Source organism: Homo sapiens, chromosome 21 (genome assembly GCF_000001405.40).
Source record: "Homo sapiens chromosome 21, GRCh38.p14 Primary Assembly".
NCBI lineage: Eukaryota > Metazoa > Chordata > Mammalia > Primates > Hominidae > Homo > Homo sapiens.
Window position 1 is genome coordinate 6,648,117 of NC_000021.9, and position 24,107 is coordinate 6,672,223.

Here is a 24,107-nt window from a genome sequence, read left to right on the forward strand (position 1 = left end):
CACAAGAGCAAAAACTTTGAACCAAACCAAATGCCCATCAGTGGTAGAATGAATAAAGAAAATGTGGCATGTATACATCATGGAATACAATGCAGTCATAAAAAGGATGAGTTCATGTCCTTTGCAGGGACATGGATGAAGCTGGAAACCACCATTCTCAGCAAACTAACACAAGAGTAGAAAAGCAAACATCACATGTTCTCTCTCATAGTTGGGAGTTAAACAAAGAGAACACAGGGACACAGGAAGGGGAACACCACACACTGGAGCCTGTCAGGAAGTGGGGGACTATGGGAGGGATAGCATTAGAAGATATATTCCTGGCCTAGGCCACTATTGCGATTTTCTAAATTTTGTTTCAAAAACATGATGTTTCAAAAATTGTTATTGATATGTAATTATACAAATATATAGTTCAGAAAAAAGAATCAACATTAATTATGCTTTTTCCAAAATACTTTATGGTTTTGAGCTCTTCTAGCAGTGACATTTTTGCTGTAGGTAGTTGCTCTATATCTGGTATATTCATCATAGCATCCTTTGTACCCTTTACACTTATCCTTCAATTTCCCACTCTCCTTAAGTGTAAATTTTCAAGGCCAGAGCTCCCATATCTTCCCAATATTACTTTTTGAAAAGAAGCTCCTATGTACTGTTTTGTCTGGGTCTTGTTGGATATAATGCTAAAAGAGCTGGAAAATAATAATTTTTTAAAAAATTCGGTGATGAAATTAAGGTAAATATATTTTATAAATCTAATGAACAAAATGAGGCCAGCTGAGAACACAATGATAGTTGAAGAAGAACCTGAGATCCTGTTTCTCTCAATGGATGTATGAACTTAACTGCAATTGGGTGAGCAAAGCCAGTTGAGTTTGTAGCACCCCTCATGAGAAAAAAGCCAACCATAACCACATTTAGAAGAAAGAAAATTTGGTTACATTTCTGCACTACAGAACAGTGCAGTTAGATAAAATTCTGTCCATTCCATGATTCTCCCTCGGGAAAGAAAACAGAGTGAAACGTGTATGCAAACTTCTGACTTATTGATTTATACCTTTAACATTTAGTGTTGACCAGAATAGAGATAGAGTTTAAATGACAGCTTGGGTCGACTGAGAATAAAGATAAATATTTCTTACAACAAAGAGACTGTAGTGCCTGCAACAGTGACAAAGAGAAGAGACTAAAGGCTCCTAAGAGGAAAGAGAGGTAAACCTTATTAACAAGAAAATACATACAGTACAAAGAAGACACATTTTGACAACAGATTGGAGAAGCTCCCGGAATGACTAGTGTGGCTGAATATTGTCAATTTTCCCATGTACAAAGCTTTTTCATAAAGGATAAAATAGGTAGTGGTTTCTTAATTGACCAAAACCTTAACAAAACCACAGTACTTAAAAGCAACCAGGAAATATAGCCTAATGAAACGAGAAAAATATATATTCAAGTGACCCTAAAGAAGTGGAGATCTATGAATTATTTTTTAACTTAAAATCATTTTATTTTTCTTTATTTTTTCATTTTATACACAGGATCTTACTCTATCTCCTGGGACAGATTGCAGTGGTGCAATCACAGCTCACTGTAACCTCAAATTTCTGAAGTAAAGCAGTCATGCCTCCTATGTCTCCTGAGTAAATATGACCACAGTTGGGCACACTACCACACCTGTATAGTTTCTTTAAAAGAATCTGTACAAACAGAATGTTGTTATGTTGCCTCGGCTGGTCTCAAACTCCTGGTCTCAGGCAATCCTACTGCCTCAGTCTGAAAGTGCTGGCATGAGCCACCATACCTGGAATTGTTTCTCTTTTAAGAAAAAAGGACTTTAAATCATTAATAGTAAAATAAAACAAAGAAAGGCATTGCATAACGATAGAGAGTTCAATTCAACAAGAAGACTTAACTATCCTAAATATAGATGCACCCAACTTTGGGGAACATAGAGTTATACAACAAGTACTGCTAGACCTACAATAAGACTCAAGTAGCCACGCAATAATAGTAGGGAAACGCAACTCCCCAATAACAGTGTTTGTCAGATTATCTAGGCAGAAACTTAACAAAGAAATTCTGGAGTTTGATTTCGCACTTGATCAATTGAAACTAATAGACATTTATAGTATACACCACACATCATCTAAGGAACATAAATTCTTCTCATCGCTCACAGAATATACTCTAGGATTGACCACTTCCTAGCCATAAAGCAATTATCCATACATTTTTTAAAAATGAAAATTATGCCAACCATACTGTCAGGCCACAATGGAAAAAAGATAAATATCAATACCAACAAAATCTCACAAAATCACAGAATGGCATTGAAATTAAACAACTTGCTCCTGAATGAATTTTGGGTAAACAACAAAATTGAGGCAGAAACTTAAAAAAAATTTGAAATAAATGAAGAGACACAATATACTAAAATGTCTGGGTTGTAGGAAAAGCTCTGTTAAGAGGAAAGTTGAGAGTGCTAAATACCTGCATCAAGAAGTTAGAATGATCTCAAACTAACAATTTAACATCACACTTAGAGAAACTAGAAAAACAAAAACAAACTAACCCCAAAGCTGGCAGAATGGCAAAAATATTCACAACCTATAAACCTGACAAAATCTAATACTCAGAATCTATAAGAAACTTAAAGAATTCACAAGCAAAAAATTACCCCATGAAAAAGTGGGCAATAACAGACAATGTTCAAAAGAATACATACAAGTGGCCAAACAACATGAAAAAAGCTTATCACTAACCATCAAGGAAATGTAAATAAAAACCACAGTAAGACACCATCGTACACCAGTTAGAATGGCTTTTGTTAAAAAGTAAAATGATAGTAGATATTGGTGGGGTTTTAGAGGGAAAAAACCACTTATACACTGTTTATAGGAATATAAATTAGTTCAGCCACTGTGGAGAGCAGCTTGGAGATTTTCCAAATAACTGAGAGTTGAACTATGATTCAACGCAGAATTTCACCGCTGGGTGTATACCCAGAAGAGAATAAACTATTCTACCAAAACAGCACATGCACTTGTTGGTTCATCACTGCATTATTTATAACAGGAAAGACATGAATCAACCTACGTGACTATTAATGGTATTTTTTTTTTTTTGAGATGAAGTCTCACTCTGTTGCCCAGGCTGGAGTGCAGTGGCACTATCTCAGCTCACTACAACCTCCACCTCCCAGGTTCAAGCAATTCTCCTGCCTCAGCCACCCGAGTAGCTGGGACTACAGGCTCATGACAACACGTCCGGCTAACTTTTGTATTTTCAGTAGAGACGGGGGTTTCATTATGCTGTCCAGGATGGTCTCGATCTCCTGACCTCATGATCCACTCACCTTGGCCTCCCACAGTGCTGGGATTACAGGCATCAGCCACCGTGTCCAGCCTATTAATGCTAAATTGAATTTAAAAAGTGTCACATGTACAGCAATACTACTTAGCAAAAACAACAACAACAACAAAAAAACTTGTCCTTTGCAGCAACATTAATACAACTAAAGGTCATTCTACAATCAAATTAATGCAGAAATGGAAAACAAAAATACTGATGTTCTCACTTATAAATGGAAATTAACACTGGGTACACATGGACATAAAAATAAAAATAAAAGACAACTCTTAGAGGGTGGAGAGAGGGAGGGATCAAGAACTGAAAAACTGTCTATTTAGTACTATGCTCACTGCATAAGTGATGGAATTACTTATATTTCAAACCTCAGCACTATACAAAATACCCATGTAAAAAACCTGTGTAGGTACCTCCTAAATCTAAAACAAATTTGAAATTCTAAAAGGCGGTCTTACTCTCTCACCCAGACAGGAATACAATATCATGGTTATAACTCAATGCAGCCTCAAATTCCTGGGAACTCAAGGAATAATCTTACATCAGCCTCCAACTTCCGAGACTACAGGAACATTCCACCATTCATGATTAATCTGTAAAAATATTTTTTACATATAGCTTCTCACAATATTGCCCAGGGTGGTCTCAAACTCCTAGCCTTAAGTAATTGATATGGTTTGGCTCTCTGTCCCCAACCAAATCTCACCTTGAATTGTAATAATCTCCACATGTCCTGGGAGGTACTCTGTGGGAGGTAATTGAATCATGGGGGTGGGATTTTCCCATGCTGTTCTCATGATAGCAAAAAAGTCTCACGTGATCTGATGGTTTTATAAGTGGAGATTCCTCTGAACAAAGTCTCTTGCTTGCTCCAATAATTGTGAGACCTCCCCAGCCATGTGAAACTGTGAGGCCATTAACCTTTTTCATTATGAATTATCCAGTCTTGGTTATGTCTTTATTAGCTGCATGAGAATTTATTAATACAGTAATCCCCTTGCCTTAGCTTTCAAAGTAGCTGGAATTAGACACAAATATCAATGTGCCTGGCTAAAACACCTAGCTTAAAGATGCTCATTCAGCTAAAGAAGAACATAGAAAGCTAAACAGAAAAAGAAAACAATTCATGAAGATAATGAGATTATCAATGAAGTGATTAAAAGTATAAAATAGAAACATAAAGTGTGGAGCTGAAAAATAAAATACCTGAATTTAGAGATTCACTAGAAGGTCCAACAACTGGTTTGATCTAGCAGGAAAAAATCCAGCAAGCTTCATAAAAAGTCATTTGAAATTATATGGTGAGGAGGGTAAAAATAATTTTAAAAATTAAGAAAGCCTAAGGGACTTATGGGATACCATTAAGATGGCCAATATACTTCTAATGGGAATTCTAAAATAAAAAGAGAGAAAAGAGAGCAGCAAAGTTATTTCAAGAAACAAACAGTGGCTGAGAACTCTCAAAATTTGAGGGAGAAAATGGCCTAAAATTTAATGAAACTTTACCAACTAGTAGCAACACAGGGAGACCCATGACAAGACACATTTTAATCAGAGATTCAAATGTTAAAACACCGAGAATCTTGAAGTCAGCAAGAAAAAATGACTTAGCATGTACAATGTTACCCCTATAGGATGACCAGCAGATGTCTCAGCCAATAGAATGCAGGCAAGAGGTTGTAGGATGACATACTCAAAGTGCTGAAAAAAATGGCAAATACCAACCAAGAACACTATGTCTGCCAAAGCTATCATTTCAAATGAATTAAAAAATAAAAATAAAGAATATTCAAGATCAACGAAAACTGTATTAATTTATGCACACTAGGCCTGTATTAAAAAATGCTAGTCATTCACATTAAAAAATAAAATAATGATGAGAGCAACATAGAATTATGTAAAATATAAAGTTTTCTAACAGATAATTATGTACAGAATTATAATATTCTTTGTTATTATAATGAAGATGCACAGAATACTTTTAATTCTGCTATGTAGTTGAGATAACAAAGACTTAAAAATGACTATATAACTGTGCCAATAGATTCACAATATAAAATGATGTAATTCGCGACATCAATAAAACACATAGGGAGCCATAAAGAGGCAGGGTTTTATATGCTATAGTAGTTATTTTTGGTAATATCTATAGTAACAACAAAGAAAATACCTATAGTACTTAGGATTTTGAGACTAGTCTGGTCAACATGGCAAAACCCTGTCTCTATGAAAAATAACAAAAATTAGCCAGGAGTAGTGGTGCACATCTGTGGTCCCAGGTACTCAGAAGGCTGTGGTGGGAGGATTGTTTGAGTTGAGCCTGAGAGGCAGAGCTTGCAATAAGCAGAGATTGTGCCACTGCCCTCCAGCCTGGGCGACAGAGCAAGACCCTGTCAAAAAAAAAAAAAAGGAAATACCTATAGTACACACACACAAAGACATACACACAGAGAGAGTAGTGAGAAAAGAAGTAAAACATGTCACTATAAAAATCAATAATACGCTAAGAAAGAGAACAAGAGAGAAAAACAGGAAATAATAGCTACAGGACAGGCCAGGAGCTGTGGCTCATGCCTGTAATCCCAGCAATTTGGGAGGCCGAGGTGGGGGGATCAACGAGGTCAGGAGATTGAGACCATCCTGGCTAACACGGTGAAACCCTGTCTCTACTAAAAAAAATAAATAAATAAAAATAAAAATAGCCGGGCATGGTGGCGGGTGCCTGTATTCCCAGCTGCTGGGGAATCTGAGGCAGGAGAATGGCGTGAATCCGGGAGGTGGAGCTTGCAGTGAGCCAAGATTGCACCACTGCACTCCAGCCTGGGCAACAGAGCAAAACTCCTTCTCAAAAGAAAAAGCTACAGGACCTAAAACAAAAAAGAAACAAAATTCAATAGAAAGTCATAGGAAATCATTCCCTTTTAGTAATGATTTTTTATATATATAAATTATGTCAATCAAAAACATACTTTCACTAAATAAATTCATGAAACAAGATTCAACTCTCTGCTTCCTACAAATGACCACATTATGATCTGGAACACGCATAAGCCATACATGAAAGAATAAAAAAAATTAAATGCAAAATCAAATATTGTCATGGTAGACAAAATATATATTATATCAAAAACTTCCTCAAGAGAGAAGAAGAAAAAGACAATAAAAACAACAACAATAAAAGCAACAAAAAACAACATACATCAATAAAAGCAACAATAAAACAACATACAACAATAAAAGCAACAGTAATGTATGTGCCTTACATCACAGTTCCCAAAATATGAAGCAACATTTTACAGAATTGAAACATGAAGTAGCCAGCACATAACAGTAGATGACTTTTTTATCAGACTTTTAGTAATGTAAATTAAAAAACAAACATAAGATGAATAAGTAAACAGAGGATTTCAACAACACAATAGAACAATTAGACCTAACAGTCATATTTATGTCTCTCCACTCAACAGTAGAATATGCAATACTTTTAATCACACATGCCAAAATATTCCAGATAGACCACCTGTTAAGTTAAAAAACACATCTTAGCAAATTTAAGCAGATGGAATTACACAAATTATTCCTAACTATGATACAATAAAACAAGAAGTTAAAAACACTAGCATGTCAAAGAATAAGTAAAATTAAACAACAAATTCTCAAAAACACTCTTGTTCAAGAGGTTATAGACTTAATATTGTTAAAATGTCACTACAACCAAAAGTGGTCTACGGATTCAATGTTCTTTCTTTTCTTTTCTTTCTATTTATTTTGAGACGGAGTTTTGCTCTTGTTGCCCAAGGTGGAGTGCAATGGTGCGATCTCAGTTCACTGCAGCCTCCACCTCCTGGGTTCAAGCTGTTCTCCTGCCTCAGCCTCCTGAGTAGCTGGGAATACAGGCATGTGCCACCACACCTGGCTAATTTTGTATTTTTAGTAGAGATGGGGTTTCTCCATGGCTGGTCTGGAACTCCTGACCTCAGGTGATCCACCTTCCTCAGCCTCCCAAAGTGCTGGGATTACAGGTATGAGCCACGACCCTCAGCTGATTCAATATACTTTCTATCAAAATACCAATGAAACTTTTTGCAGAAGTTTTAAAATATTCTACAATTTTTATGGAATTTCAAGTTATCACAAACAGCCAAAAAATATTGGGAAAAAAATATAAAGACAGAGGCATCATGCTTTCTATTTTCAAAACATACTACAAAGATATAGTAATAAAAACAGTTTGGTACTGACATAAAGACAAATGAATGATGAAACAGATGAGACAGTCCAGACATAAGTCCTCATGGGTATAGTAAACATATTTTTAAAATGTGTTCCAAGAATCACAAAAAGGAAAGAACAGTCTCTTCAACAAACAGTATTGGGAATAATAAAAATTTACAAGGAAAAAATAACAAAGTTAGACCTTACCTTGCACCAGATAAAAACATAAACTCAAGGCTGGGTGTAGTGGCTCACACCTGTAATCCCTGCACTTTGGGTGACAGAGACAAGTGAATCACAAGGTCAGGATATCAAGACCATCCTGGCCAACATGGGGAAACCACGTCTCTACTAAAAATACAAACAAAAATTAGTTGGCAGTGGTGGCACACGCCTGCAGTTCCACACACTCGGGAGGCTGATGCAGGAGAATCTCTGGAACCCGGGAGGCAAGAGTTTCAGTGAGCTGAGATCATGCCACTGCGCTCCAGCCTGGTGACAGAGAAAGACTCCACCACAAATAAAGAAATAAACTCAAAATAACTAATTTTTGGTAGCTATTAAAATGGAATTTAAAATTTTATCGCTATCATCATACAGAAAGCTACTACTGTGTTAATTTTCTGCAATGTTACAGAATTTGTTTAGTAGTTCTAATAGTTTTTGGTGTAGTGTTTAGAGTTTTTCACATATAAGATTATTTTGTCCACAATGAGAGACCATTTGACTTCATCCTTTCCAATTAGTATAACTTTTATTTCTTCCTCTTGCCTAATTTCCTTGGCTAGGACTTCCAGTACTATGTTGAATAAGAGGGCTGAAAGTTTGGATGATTTGTCTTGTTCCAGATCTCAGAGAGAAAGCTTTCAACTTTTCCTTATTCAGTATAAAGTTAGCATTGCTTTTTCATAAATGGCCTTTACTGTATTAAGGCACATACCTTCTATTCCTAACTTGTTGAGAGTTTTCATCATAATGAAGGCTGAATTTCATCCAATTCTTCTTCTGCATATGCAAAAGCTACAAAAATGAAAATACTTAATGTGATGGCTAATACAGGGTGTCAAATTGATTGGATTGGAGGATAAAAAGCATTGATCCTGGGTGTGTCTGTGAGGGTGTTGCCAAAGGAGATTAACATTTGAGTCAGTGGGCTGGGAAAGGGAGATCCACTCTTAATTGGGTGAGCACCATCTAATGAGCTGACAGTGAATATAAAGCAGGCAGAAAAACGTGAAAAAGAGAGACTGGCCTAAGCTCCCAGACTACATCTTTCTCCTGTGCTGGACACTTGCAGCCCTCAAACATCAGACTCCAAGTTCTTCAGCTTTGGGACATGGACCGCCTCTCCTTGCTCCTCAAACTTGCAGACAACCTATTGTGGGATCTCATGATCTCTCTAGGGAAGCCCAACTAATACACCTAGCAACAAACTTAACTAAAAAGGTAAAAGATCTCTACTCTGAAAACGACAAAACATGGATAAAAAATATAAAATACAAATGAATAAATGAAAAAATATTGTGTTTATACACTGGAAGAATACTCTTGATCTATCTACCCAAAGTGATCTACAGACTTAATGTGATTTTTATCAAAGTACCAATGACATTTTTTCACAGAAATAAAAAAAATTTAAATTTATATGGATCCACAAAAAACTCTGAATAGACAAAGCAACTTTGAGCAAAATAAGCAAAGCTAAAGGCATCACTTCATCAAACTTCAAAACTTGCTATAAAGCTACAGTAACCAAAACAGCACTGTACTGGCATAAAAACAAACTCATAGACTAATGTGCCGAATAAGCCCAGAAGTTAATTTATGCACCTAAAGCCAACTGATTGTCAACAAAATTGCCAAGAACACACTTTAGAGAAAAGCTAATCTCTTTAATAAATGGTGCAGGGCCACTTAAATATTTATATGCAGAAAAATAATACTAGACCCTTGTACCTTGCCATATATGATAATCAACTAAAACTAAAGACTTAAATGTAATGCCATCAATTATGAAACTATTAGAGAAAAACATAAAAAAATGCTTTATAACATTGGATGGGGAAAGGATTATTAAAATAAGATTTCAAAACATGGGCAACAAAATCGAGAATAAGCAAACAACATTATGTCAAACTAAAATGCTTTTCCATATTAAAAAAACAACTAGAAGTTTGAAGAGACAGCTTAGGCAATGACAGAAAATGTTTTCATATACATGTGACAAAAGGCTAATATTCAGAATATATAAGAAACTTTAAAATCTCAAAATAAAATACACTTATAATCTAACTTTAAAAATGCAAAAGATCTTAATAGATGTTTGTCAAAAAGAGATACAAAAATGCTAACTGGAACATAAAAAGATGCTCTACATTACTAATCACCAAGGAAATGCAAATCCAAACCATAATGAAGTACCGCCTCATTCCCATTAGAGTGGCTATAATAAAAATAAATAAATAAATCAAGAACTAATGAGGATATAAAAAAGAGTGGATGTATACCTTGTTGGTGGAATTGTAAATTAGTATGGCCATTATAGAAAATAGTATGGAGGTTTCTGAAAGAAATTAAAAATATATCTATTATATGATCCAGCAATTTTACTTCTGGGTGTATATCCAAAAGAAAGGATATTACTGTGTCAAAAAGATATTTGCATTCCCATGTTCATTACAGAACTATTTATAATAGCTTATATATGGAATCAATTCAAATGTACAGCAACAGATAAATGGATAAGGAAAATGTACTATATATACACAGCGAAATACTATTCAGCCATAAGAAAGCATAAAATTCTGTCAGTTAAAAGAGCATGGATGAACCTTGAGCATACCATGTTAAGTAAAATAAGCCACATAGAGAAACACAAATACTTTATGATCTTATTATCTCACTCATTTGAGGAACCTGAAAAAAAGGGTTGATAGAAGCAAAGAGTACAACAGGGGTTACCAGAGACTGAAGCAGGAGGATGGGAAAAGGTTGCTTCACAGGTATTGTGTTATGATTAGATAGGGGAAATAAGTTTTTGTTTTTTATTACACAGTAGAATAATAATAATTAATGAAAAGTTATCTCATATTACAAAATAGCTAAAAGAGACCAGTTTCGGTGGCACATTCTTGCAATCCATACATTTTGGGAGACTGAGGTAGGAGAATCACTTGACGTCAGAAGTTCAAGATGAGCCTGGACAACATAGTGTGACCCTGTCTCTATGAAAAATTAAAACATTAGCCAGGCATGGTGGCAGCTTCCTGTAGTCTCAGCTAATTGGGAAACTAAGGTTAGAAGACTGTTTGAAGTTACAGTGAGCTAAGATTGCACCACTGCACACCAGTCTGGGTGTTAGAGCAAGATCCTGTCTCTAAAAAAATTTAATACTTAAAGATAAAATAAAATAGCTAGAGAAGAAGCTTTTGAATATTCTCACCACAAAAATAACAAATGCATGAGGCAACAAGTATAGAAGTACTCTGATTTTTATTGTTATACAACATATATATATAATTGTTTCCCCAAAATATGCACAATTACATGTGTCAATTTTAAAAAATGAATGAAGACTATAATGTAAAACCTATAGCTGTAAAATTCCTAGCACAATACAGAAGGGTGAAGCTTCATGACAACTGGTCGTGGCAATAATTTGGGGGACGTAACATCAACGGATGAGACAACAAAAGCAAGGGAATACACATGGTACTGAATCAGTGTATGAAAAATATCCCAAACAGACAAAGCAGAACATGGAATAGATATATGCACATTGTAGTATTAGTCACAAACATGTTACCTGGAAGCAAATGTACCCTTAAGGATGAGTAGATTCAGCAAACAGGGCACGTACAATCACTGGGATAGCATTCAGCCTTAAAAATAAGGAAATCTTGAAAAGTACTACAATAAGGACAAATATTCAAAACATTCTGTTAAGTAAAATAAGACAGTCAAAAAGGAAAGCTGTATAATTACACTCATGTAAAATATTTAGTCAAACTCAAAGAAACCAAGTGTCATAGTCTCAGCAGTGCACCAAGATGTAACAGTCTCTCGTAGTCTGAGATAACATCCAGAGTTCTTTGTTCTACCTCTAAGGAGATTAAGGAGTGTAAACACAAAGGTGAGGTTGGAGTGAAAGTTTAAGAAGCAAGAGAAGAAAGCTCTTTGCCAGCAGAGATAGGTGTCTGAAAGTGGTGCCCTCTACGAGGCTGGGTCCAGGGTTTTTATGGACTGGGAAGGGAAGGATATGTGCCTAGTTCACAGGCTGTCTTGAAAAACGTGTGGCTCAGCTTGGCCCAGGCCTTTGGCCCAGGACCAATCAGGAGCTGAAGGGATGATTGATAGATGCTGCTTAGCTTGGCCCAAGACTTACCAGAAGCTAAGGTGAAAGTTTGGCCAAGGAGCTTGGCACGGGAGCAATCAGGGGCTGAAGTAATTATTCATAGAGGTCAGACTTACAGTCCAAATAAAGGAGAATGTCTACCGGAATGTACCAGATTCCACAGTGTCCATGCCAACAAAAAGAGAAGGAACATTTTCCTGGGAGCCCACTGACTGTACAAAGACAAAGGTGTTTCTTTTTTTTTTCTTTTTCTTGTCTTTCTTTCTTTTTTTTGAGATGTACTTTCTTTTTTTATTTTATTTTATTTTTTTTGCAGTTTTGCTCTTGTTGCCCAGCCTGGAGTGCAATGGTGCGATCTCGGCTCACAGCAACCTCCACCTCCTGGGTTCTAGCGATTCTCCTGCCTCAGCCTCCCAAGTAGCTGGGATTATAGGCATGCAGCACCATGCCTGGCTAGTTTTGTATTTTTAGTAAAGACAGGGTTTGTCCATCTTGGTCATGCTGGTCTCAAACTCCCGACCTCAGATGATCCGCCCACAGCTGCCTCCGACATTGTTGGAATTACAGGCATGATCCACCGTGGCTGGCCAAACAAAGGCATTTCTGTGCTAGGTCGTTCTTGTTCCTTTATCTGAGTGAGCTGGAGGTTTGTACAAGTTTTTATCCAAATGGGCCAGAGGTTTTTCTATCTCTGCAGCCACGGGCATGTCTCCAAGCACAACAACATATGTTAGTTCCCTTGTTAGTGTCTGCAGCTTGATTTTTTCCAGGCTTCTTTACATGTTATGCAGGGATGAGGCACTGACCAGGGACTTTCCAGGGACTCTTCTCTTGCTATCTACCTAAGGTAAGCTAACTAACTTCTTTCACAAGTAATGAGTATTCACTTTTACTTTTGTAAGACAAAAATTATCTAAAAGCTACTGCAAAACAATAGAACTATACTAACCACTTCTAAACCATATACTTAAAATTTCAGAAATGACAATGGCATGTTTTTAACTACAATTAGAAATTTAAGACTAACTAAAAGGCACAGTTAGAAAACCTTTCAAACATCACCTTCAAATAACAAAGGGTTATTCTCACACAATTATATGGATTTAAACTATATGTTGATTGTAAATTTAAGATTATTTCCCTGATGACTCACCAAGATAGAATAAAATAATCACTGGAAACCAAGAAAAGAGGGAAATTTATAGCACTAATGTCCACATCAAAAAGCTAGAAAGGGCTGGGCGTGGTGGCTCATGCCTGTAATTCCAGCACTTTGGGAGGCTGGGGTAGGCAAATCACTTAAGGCCAGATGTTCAAGACCAGCCTGGAACACACAGCAAAACCCCACCTCTACAAAAAAAAATTCAAAAATTAGCTGGTTTTTGTGATGCACATCTGTAATCCCAGCTACTCAGGAAGCTGAGACAGCAGAAATCACTTAAAACTGAGAAGTGGAGGTTGCAGTGAGCAGAGATCATGCCACTGTACTCCAGCCTGGGTGACAGAGTGAGACTCTGCCACAAGAAAAAAAAGAGAAACTAGAAAGATCTAAAGTTAACAGCCTAACATCTTGATTAAAAGAACTAGAAAACCAAGTGAAAACTAACCAGAAAGGTAGCAGAAAACAAGAAATAACCAAGATCAAAGTAGAGCTGAAGGAGATAGAGACACTGAAAACTCTTCCAAAAAAAAAAAGTCAACAAATCCAGGAGCTGTTTTATGAAAAAAATTAATAAACTAGATGGAACACTAGCTAGGCAAATAAATAAGAAAAGAAAGGAGAACCAAACACAATTAGAAATAATAAGGGAGATATCATCACTGGTCCCATGGAAATAAGAACAACCATCAGAGAACACTATAAACATCTGTATGCACATAAACCAGAAAATCTAGAATAGACAATTTCCTTGCAAAATAAACCCTCCACAAGACTGAACCCTGAATAGATCAATAATGTGTTCTGAAACTGAGGCAGTAATAACTAGCCTACCAAGCAAGCTGAATTTGACCAGAGGTACAAAGAGGAGATGGTACCTTTTCTCCTAAAACCATCCAAAAAAAATTGAAGACAAAGTTCTCTGTAACTCATTCTATCAGGCCAGCATCATCCAGATACCAAAACCTAACATAGATACTACAACAACAACAACAACAACAACAACACATCATGCCAATGTCTTTGGTAAACACTGTGCAAAAATCCTCAATAAAATACTGGCAAACCAAATCCAGCAGCATATTAAAAAGTTCATCTGCAACAATGGAGTTGGCTTTGTCCCCAGGATGCAAGGTTGATTCAACAAATGCAAATCAATAAATGTGACTCATCACATAAAGAGAACTAAATAAAAAGCCACATGATTATCTCAATAAATGCAGAAAAAGCATCCAATAAAATTCAGCATTCCTTCAGGTTTAAAATTCTCAATAAACTAGGAAGTGAAGAAACATACCTGAAAATAATAAGAGCCATATACAACAAACCCACAACCAATATCATACTGAATGTGCAAAAGCTAGAAACGTTCCACCTGAAAACTGGCACAAGAAAAGAATGCCCTCTTTCACCACTACCATTCAATATAGTATCAGAAGCCTTGGCCAGGAAAATCAGGCCAGAGGAAGAAATAAAGAGTATTCTAATAGAAAGAGAGGAAGTCAAATTATCTTTGTTTGCAGATGACCTGATCCTACATCTAGAAAACCTCATTGTCTCAGGCCCAAAGCTTCTTAAGGTGATAAGCAACAGTAGCAAAATCTCAGGATATAAAATCAATGTGCAAAAGTAGCTAGCATTCCCATGCACAAACAACAGGCAAGCAGGGAGACAAATCATGAATGAACTTTCATTCACATTTGCTACAAAGAGAAAAAAATACCTAGGAATACAGCTAAGAAAGAAAGTGAAGGACCTCTTCAAGGAGAACCACAAACAACTGCTCAGAGAAATCAGAGTGGACACAAAACAGATGGAGAAATATTCCATGCTCATGGAGAGGAAGAATCAGTATCATGAATATGGGCATATGGCCCTAAGTAATTCATAGATTCAATGCTATTCCCATTGAACTACTGACATTCTTCAGAGAATTAGAAAAATAAAAACTTTTAAAGTTCATATGGAACCAAAAAAGAGCCCAAATAGCCAAGCCAACCTTAAGAAAAAAAAAAAAAAAGCTGGAAGTGTCACTCTACCTAACTTCAAACTATACTAGAAGAGTACAGTAACAAAAACAGCATGGTACTGGTATAGAAACAGACACATAGACAAATGAAACAAAGTAGAGAACCTAGAAATAAAGCCAAAAACCTACAACAACCTGATCTTTGACAAAGTTAACAAAAACAAGGAATTAGGGAAAGGTGTCCCTATTCAAAAAATGGTGCTAGGAGAACTGGCTAGCCATATGCAGAGAATTTAAACTGGAACCCTTCTTAACACCATGTACAAAAATTAACTCAAGATGGATTAAAGACTTAAATGTACAACCCAAAACTATAAAACCCTTAGAAGAAAAAATCTAGATAATACCATTCAGGATATAGGCATGAGAAAAGACTTTATGACAGAAAGGCAAAAAGCTATAGCAACAAAAGCAAAAATTGACTAATGGGGTCTAATTAAACTAAAGAGCTTCTGCGGAGCCAAAGAAACTATCATCAGAGCAGACAACCTAGAGAATGGGAGAAAAATTATGCAACCTATCCATCTCACAAATGTCTAATATCCAGAATCTAGGAGGAATTTAACAAAATTTACAAGAGAAAAAAAAAAGGCCCCATTAAAAAAGGGTCAAAGAACATGAACAGACATATCTCAAAAGAGGACATACATGTGCCCAACAAACATGAAAAGCTCAACATCACTGATAACTGCATAAATACAAATCAAAACCATAATGAGATACCATCTCACACAAATTATAATGGCTATTAATAAAAAGTAAAAAAAAAAAAAACAGATGCTGGCGAGGTTGTGGAGAAAAGGGAACACTTTTACACTGTTGGTGGGAGTGTAAATTATTTCAAGCATTGAGGAAGAGAGTGTGGAGATTCCTCAAAGACCTAGAAGCAGAACTACCATTTGACCCAGCAATACCATTACACCCAAAGGAATATAAATAATTCTATTTTAAAAATACATGTATACAAATGTTCATTGCAGCACTATTTACAATAGCAACATCATGTAATCAATCTACATGCCCATCAATGATACACTGGATAAAGGAAATGTGGTACACATACACCATGGAACACTATGAAGCCATAAAATGTAATGAGATGATGTCCCTTGCAGGGACATGGTTGGAATTTGAAGCCATTACTCCCAGCAAACTAATGCAGGAACAGAAAACCAAACACCGCCTATTATTATTCTAACTTATTAGCAGAAGCAGATCAATGAGAACACATGGACACATCAGGAAGAACAACACACACTGGACACCTGTTTCATGGCATGGGGGAGGGGAAGGAGAGCATCAGGAAGAATAGCTGCGGATGCTGGGCTTGGTACCTGGGTGATGAGATGATCTGTGCAGTAAACCACAGTGGTACGCATTTATGTATGTAAGAGACCTGCATACTCTGCACATGGACCCCTAAACTTAAAATAAAAGTTGAAAAATAAACTTTATCACATATGGACCCCTGAACTTAAAATAAAACTTGAAAAAAAAATGTGTTTCTGGTGGATTCTCTATGTTAGACCCAAACTGAGGATCTTGAAGCTCTCGCTGGGGGAATCGGGGATGGGGGCACACTGGGGAGCCGCTGCCAAGGCCAACCACCCTCCCTACAAGCCACCTCCCTTCCCGGCCAGTATGGAAAGGAGAAGGGGTATGTGAACAGCTGTGGAGGTCAGAATCTCGGGAACTGAATCAGGCCCCAGCCCATGCCCCCCAGCCCAGCCCTCAGGATTGTTAGATGGAACAAGGCTCCATCATCACCCAGGCATGGAGGGAAGATGCCCTGGTCCTTACCAAGCAAGGCCTGGTTTCCAAAGTCCTCTCCGAAGAGGCCTCATGTTTGCCACATCTTAAAAGTCCCCTTTCTGCTGTTCTTGCACCCAGCATGTTGGACAGTCAAGTTCCCCCGCTGAGCAATCCACACATAAGGAGGGAGTCAACACCATTGCTATGTCGGATCAGCTCCAGCGTCTCCAATATCAGTTTTATCAGATCCCAGGAACCTGCCTGCTCCCAGAGGTGACAGAGAAAAATCAAGGAAGGATCTGTATGGTCACTGACCTGGATGAAACCCTTGTGCATAGCTCCTTTAAGCCAATCAGCAATGCTGACTGCCTAGTGCCTGTAGAGCTTGAGGGGACCATGCACCAGATCCATGTGCTCATGAGGCCTTATATGGATGAGTTCCTGACATGAATGGAGGAAATGTTTAAATGTGTTTTCGTCATTGCTCTCTTCTTCCCAGCCTGAACAAGTAGGCAGATCCTGTGACGGGTGAGCTGGACGGGTATGGGATGGTCTGGGGCTGCCTGTCCCATGAGTCATGTTTGTTTCACCAGGGCTGCTATGTCAAGGACGTCAGCCATCTGGGGAGGGACCTGAGGAAAACTCATCCTGGACAACTCGCCTGCTTCTTACATCTTCCACACAGAGAATGCAGTGCCTGTGCAGTCCTGGTTTGATAACATTCCAGACAGCAGCTGCTGCACCTGATATCATTATTTGAGGAGATGAGTGGAGGAGCAGAGGGTGTCTACACTAGCCTTGGGCAGCAGTGGGCCCTTAACCTTCCCTGCTTCCCAGCAATGGCCATCACAGTAGGGGATTTTCCCACACTGTGCCTTTATGAACAGCCTGAAAGAGTGAAGGCTGGAACACCTACCCACATGGGCCTGGAAACAGTGAGAAGTGATTGAAAAGAGCTTTAGGACAGCTTAGATGCCCAGTGGGTGAATGCCAGACCAAGGATACCCAGAGCTACCTGCCATCAAGTTGTTGGGTTCCCGAGATGGGGGTGTGAGAGAAAGAAAGACAGCATGTGTGTTTTGCTATGAACTGTGGCCCCAAGTATATAGTGTTTCAGTAGAGGAGAAGCTGAAGGACAAAGACTCTTCCCAAGCTAGCTTGTCTCCTCTCCTGTCACCCTATGAGCCCCTGAGATCCATAGGGATGAAGAGTATTGAAGGCTCCGTTGCAAACCTGGTCTTTCTTCAGTGCTGCAAGGCCTATGCCAAGGAGAAAGGAAAGGTATGCCTTTGGGTGTTCCAGGCACACATCTTTCTGAAATATTTCTCCAGCCAGTTGTTGCAGACAAAAGACGACATTTCTGGGAAGATGGGGACTTATGTCCAGACGAGTACCCAAACTATCAGGTCTTCTGGCCCAAAGGCTATTTTTACTTACCTCTAGCCAAGTGCCTGGGATGGATCCTTTCTGCGTCTCACCAAGGCTCACCACTTAGCCATAGCCTCAAACCCGTGGGGAAGGAAGGTCTCCCCGCCCTGCAAGAGGACAAATAACTGATTTTTGTTCATTTGACTCTGTTTTAAAATTCTCTTTAAAAAAAAAAAAAACAAAAAAAAGAAAAAGAAAGCATATCTGAAACTTAAAAAAAAAAACAAGGAAAAAAGATGAAAAAAATGACATACTTACATAGGTGAAAAACACATAGATATATCTATAAGCAACAAACACAGCTAATTCAAATATAAATTAAATATCACATTGTCATAATGTGTACCGAGTTAAAAAATTATCATTCAACTCATGATATCAAGCTTTAAAAGCAAAAATACAATTAACTGCTCTGAGAAAACATACCCCCCCAGAAAAGAAACACAACAACACAGAACTGAAAATAAGAAGAGAGATTTTAATGCATAAAATCCTGAATACAACATAAATATACAATGAAAAATAAGCCCTTTTTGTTTTTTTTTGAGACAGTCTCACCCTGTCGCCCAGGCTGGAGTGCAGTGGTGCCATCTCGGCTCACTGCAAGCTCCGCCTACTGGGTTCACGCCATTCTCCTGCCTCAGCCTCTCGAGTAGCTGGGAATACAGGCACCCGCCACTATGCCCGGCTAATTTTTTCTATATTTAGTAGAGACTGGGTTTCACCGTGTTAGCCAGGATGGTCTTGATCTCCTGACCTCGTGATCCACCCACCTTGGCCTCCCAAAGTGCTGGGATTACAGGCATGAGCCACCGTGCCGGGCTGAAAAATAACCCTTTAGATATCTACAGCTTTAAACTGTGTGCAGTCATGAAAAGCAGACATTAGAAGTCATTGGCATTTAATAAATTGCAGTAAAATTATACAGTAAATACATTACAATCATTAATAATAGGCTTTAATGAGAAGAATTTAATAAATAATCATTAAAAAGACAGCAGAATTTTATTCTGTTCTCAATATGTTGCTGCTCTTCTTATCAAATACTATAATAAAACTATATGACTATAATATAGATTTCAGGAGCTAAAAAAAGCCTTATATTTTCAAATAAAAGAACAATATAAATTTTGCAAAATACAATGAGCATTACTGAAGTATAAAGTAAATATTTGGAATTAAAATATATGGTCATTTAGATACAGACTAAAAAAGAATAGAAATCTTAATGATTCCTTTCTGCCTACAGTGAGCTTAAAATTACAACCAAAAATTTTAATAAATATGTAGCACCTACAAGAAATTTTATTAACAGCTTACATAATGTGTAAATTTGAGCAATTTATTTTAGAACTTTTGAATCTGAAAATCACCTGCTTGACATTCATTTGAGAAAGTGAAACATAAAGGAGAGTAACATAAGCAAGACGACAGAATGGGAGGTTCTGCATCCACATCCCCCACGACATAATGCAGCTGCCACAGCAAACATAAGTGCATTCATGAAAGCCTTGGAATCCAGTTCAGAGTTTGTGACACCCAGCTGGAGGCAAAGACCAAGGAAGACATCTTTAGAGGGTAAGCACTTGACCAAGTGGCAAGCTTGCCAATCATGGTCCTCGCTTCAAAACAGAATACTGCCACATCTTACTGTAGACTTGGCTATAACTCATTTGACCTTGGTCCTGACACTGCAACAGTCTGTGGAAAACACAAGAGAATTCATACTCACCTGAGACTTAGATGACAGGCCTGCAGAACTTGGTTCTCTCTATAGTCCCTGAATCAGGCAAAACACACCTTCTTTCCTTCTCCAGCCATGGTCTGGAAGAAATCTTCACATTGATATGATGAAATGCTAACTAACAATATGAAAAATACTAAAGTATAAATGTCACTAAAATGGTAAATACATACTGAATTTCAGAATACTATAAATTGTTATCATCTTAAACTAGACTATTAAAATACAAGATGTTTTACATAAGTCTCATGATAACCAGTAGGAAAAAAAAATAGTAAAGAAAAAGAGAAAGTAATTAAAGCATACACAAACAACAAAAATTACACATTGGATATGGTGTCTCCTGCTTATAATTCCAACACTTTGGGAGGCCAAGGTGGAAGAATCAAATCTCCTTGGGTGTTGTGGTACATGTCTGCAGTCCAAGCTACTTGGGTGGCTAAGGTGGGACGATTATTTGAGCCCAGGAGGTTAAGGCTACAGTGAGCTGTGATATGCCACTGCACTTCAGTCTGAGCAAGAAAGCATAACTTTGTCTCAACAAAAATGAACAATACCACAGGAAAGACAGAACCAGAAAAAAAAGAAGCAAACTTAAAATGGACAGAAAACTACAAATGTACAATAGTAACTGCTTACCTATCACTACCTTACAAATAAAAAGATTAAAGTATCTACTAAACAGATACTGCTGTACACTGAATGTCATCTCCAAAATTTAGGATAAAATTTAATAGCCAACATGTTAGAATTAACAGGTGGAACCTTTAAAAATTAATTAAGCTATAAGCACTCTGCCCTCATGAATGGATTAACGTTCTTATTATGGGAATGGGCTAATTATAACAAGAATGGATCTGTTATATATTTAAAAAAAAAAGCTCTCTCTCCCTCACATCTTTGTGTATGTTATTATCCAGCAACTAGACCTTCAACATATACCAGTATAATGTTGTTTTGGCTTCCCAGCCTCCAGAATCATGAGTCAAATAAAATTCTATTCTTTATTAATTACCAGTGTGTGATATTCTGTTATAGCAGCCAAAAGAGACTAAAGCAGACAGAGTGGATAAATTAATCTTTTAAACCTCATAATATGCTGCTTACAAGAGACTCAATTATGAATTAAGAGCATAGGCTAAAAGTGAAAGGATAGAAAATGATATTCCATGCAAATAATAACCAAAGGAGTGAAATGGTAATGCTTAAATTAGACAAAATAGACTTTCTAGCAATGTCTCTCACAAGAATGAAATGAGTTTACCATACAATAATAGAGGTTAATTTCTCAAGAGAATATAGCTTTATATATTTATGCACCCAAAAGGGAGGCTTCTAAATATAAAAAGCAAATATTGCCAGAACTGTAGGGAGAAGTAGAAAGAAACCCAATAATAGAAAACTTTAACGAAATGTATAATAAAGGACATATAGTTAACAGCATTGTAAATTGGCAAGGGAAAGCTGGTCTCATGTGTTGCGTTTGAGAATGCAGCAAAGAAAGTGGGAACTGATAATTTTACTGCAAGCCTGAGTTAGGATGAAAAACAGGGTGGTCGATTAGAGGTTCCACTTGCCATACATTAAAAAAACACAGGAGAAAACCAGTCCTCCTCTGGAGTGTTAAAATAATTAAAGATCAGAAAATTAGTCTAAAGTGGCTCTAGTGCCCTGTGTTCATAGGTAAAAAACAAAAAACAAACAAAAAAAAATCTAAAACCTAACTCAAATATATTTCCTATAAAACACTATCTTAGCCTGAAGCAAAATGCAGGTTTAACCCATGACAAACATGCAATTAACCTCTGAATATGTAACCAGGACATTTCCATCTGGATAGTTCAAATAAGGCTACCATATAACTGGAACCAATTCTTGAATTTGGGTTGCTTTCTCATGCATCTTATGAAAGCCTTTCCTTTATGCCCCTCTGGTGGACCAGAAATCATGGCTGGGTGCTTTCCATTTCACCAATCACTCTTTGTTCAGATAAACTGATGAACCTTTTAACATAGACTCCCGTTAATTTTTAACACGAGAGACTGTGGACCCCACGGGCCGCAGCTCCTCCCACGCAAACACCCACTCGCGGTTTTTCCCTGATGACCCATCTGGCCTCCCTGAACAATTTGGGAAATACTCATGGCTGTGGGCGCAGAGCAGGGCGCTGCCCAGGGACAGGACCGGATGGGCCGGACGGGACGTGGGGGTCCTCGCTGCTGGCCCAGCGGCCATCTTGCAGCCACAGGGGACTGAGGGCCAAGCTGCGGGAGACTCGGAGCTAACCGTGGGGAGGCCGGTCCTGCCGGTTTCACAGTCTGTTCTCCCCTCTCGGGATGGCGAACCCCGTATACTCACCATTTCCCAGCTTCCAGGATGTCCTGGCACCTTAACTATGCGTCCCCAAGGACCTACAGATCGCAGGGCAACAGGGGCTGTGACAGAGTAGCCCAGGGCTCTCAAGGTGCAGGAGGCGAAAGAGGAGACAGATCCCAAGCTCCTGTGCCAGCACCAGCGAGAGACACAGATCCCGCCAAATGCAGGAAGCCACGCCCTCCTTTCCTCTCCTCTGCCACCGCGCGCCTGATTGGGCGGTTCCCACATCAGTGTCAATGACTGGATAAAACTCCAGGACGCACCCACCCTCGCCTGACTCCTGCCCTTACCCCCACTCCCCCTCAGACTTAGTGCACTTTTGTTAGTTTGTTTTTAAGTTCTGGAATACATGTGCAGAACGTGCAGGTTTGTTACATAGTTTTACATGTGCCATGGTGGTTTGCTGCACCTATCAACCTGCCATCTAGGTTTTAAGCCCCATATGCATTAGGTATTTGTCCTAATTTTCTCCCTCCCCTTGACCTCAACCCCTTAACAGGCCTTAGTGTGTGATCTTTGGCTCCAGGTGTCCATGTGTTCTCATTTTTCAACTCCCACATATGAGTGAGAACATATGGTGTTTGCTTTCCTGTTCCCGTGTTAGTTTGCTGAGGTTAATGGTTCCCAGCTTCATCCACGTCCCTGCAAAGGACATGAACTCATTCTTTTTATGGCTGCATATTATTTCATGGTGTATATGTGCCACATTTTCTTTTTCCAATCTATCAATGATGGGCATTAGGGTTGGTTCCAAGTCTTTGCTATTGCAAACAGTGGTGCAATAGACATATGAGTGCATGTGTCTTTATGCTAGAATGATTTATATTCCTTTGGGTATATACCCAGTAATGAGATTGCTGGATCAAATGGTATTTCTGGTTCTAGATCCTTGAGGAATCACCACACTGTCTTCCATAATGGTTGAACTAATTTACACTCCCTCCAGCAGTGTAAAAGTGTTTCTATTCCTCCACAGCCTCACCAGCATCTGTTGTTTCCTAACTTTTTAATAACTGCCATTCAACATGGTGTGAGAAGGTATCCCATTGTGGTTTTGATTTGCATTTCTCTAGTCTCCAGTGATGATGAGCTTTTCTCTTTTTTGTGTTTGTTGACCACATAAAGGTCCCCTTCTTCTTCTTCTTCTTCTTCTTCTTCTTCTTCTTCTTCTTCTTCTTCTTCTTCTTCTTCTTCTTTTCTTCTTCTTCTTCTTCTTCTTCTTCTTCTTCTCCTTCTCCTTCTTCTTTTTCTATTTATTTTACTTATTATTATTATTTTTAAGATGGAGTCTTGCTCTGTCACCCAGGCTGGAGTGCAGTGGAAGGATCTCGGCTCACTGCAACATCTGCCACCCAGGTTCAAGTGATTCTCCTGCCTTAGCCTCCCCAGAAGCTGGGATTACAGGTCACCCGCCAACACATCCTACTAATTTTTTGTGTTTTTAGTAGAAATGCGGTGTCGCCATGCGGCCCAGGCTGGTCTTGAACACCTGACCTCATGATCCACCTGCCTCCACGGCTGAAAGTGCTGGGATTACAGACTTGATCAACCGCGCCCAGCCAAATATCTTCTTTTGAAAAGAGTCTGTTTATATTCTGTGCCCACTTTTTGATGGTTTTTTTTTGTGTGTGTGTGAATTTGTTTAAGTTCTTTGTAGATTCTGGATATTAGACCTCTGACACAT

General features: G+C 38.1%; 1 long non-coding RNA gene and 1 pseudogene across 4 annotated transcripts in view; one reads left to right on the plus strand and one right to left on the minus strand.

Moving 5' to 3' along the window:
* LOC102724701 (uncharacterized) overlaps window positions 1–22,615 on the minus strand; it is a 441,766-nt gene extending 419,151 nt beyond the window's left edge. Inside the window, exons 1-3 of one of the 4 annotated variants that reach the window (XR_001755116.2) lie at window positions 22,406–22,595; window positions 20,036–20,138; window positions 18,313–18,410 (exon numbers count right to left, since the gene is read on the minus strand). This is a non-coding gene — a long non-coding RNA (uncharacterized LOC102724701). Of the gene's footprint in view, window positions 1–18,312; window positions 18,411–18,761; window positions 19,847–20,035; window positions 20,139–22,405 lie in introns of those variants that run through there. The other 3 variants (XR_951131.3, XR_001755106.2, XR_001755113.2) reach the window with 3 other exon arrangements.
* LOC102724677 (carboxy-terminal domain RNA polymerase II polypeptide A small phosphatase 2-like) lies at window positions 16,868–18,281 on the plus strand (annotated as a pseudogene).
* Window positions 22,616–24,107: the final 1,492 nt, after the last annotated feature.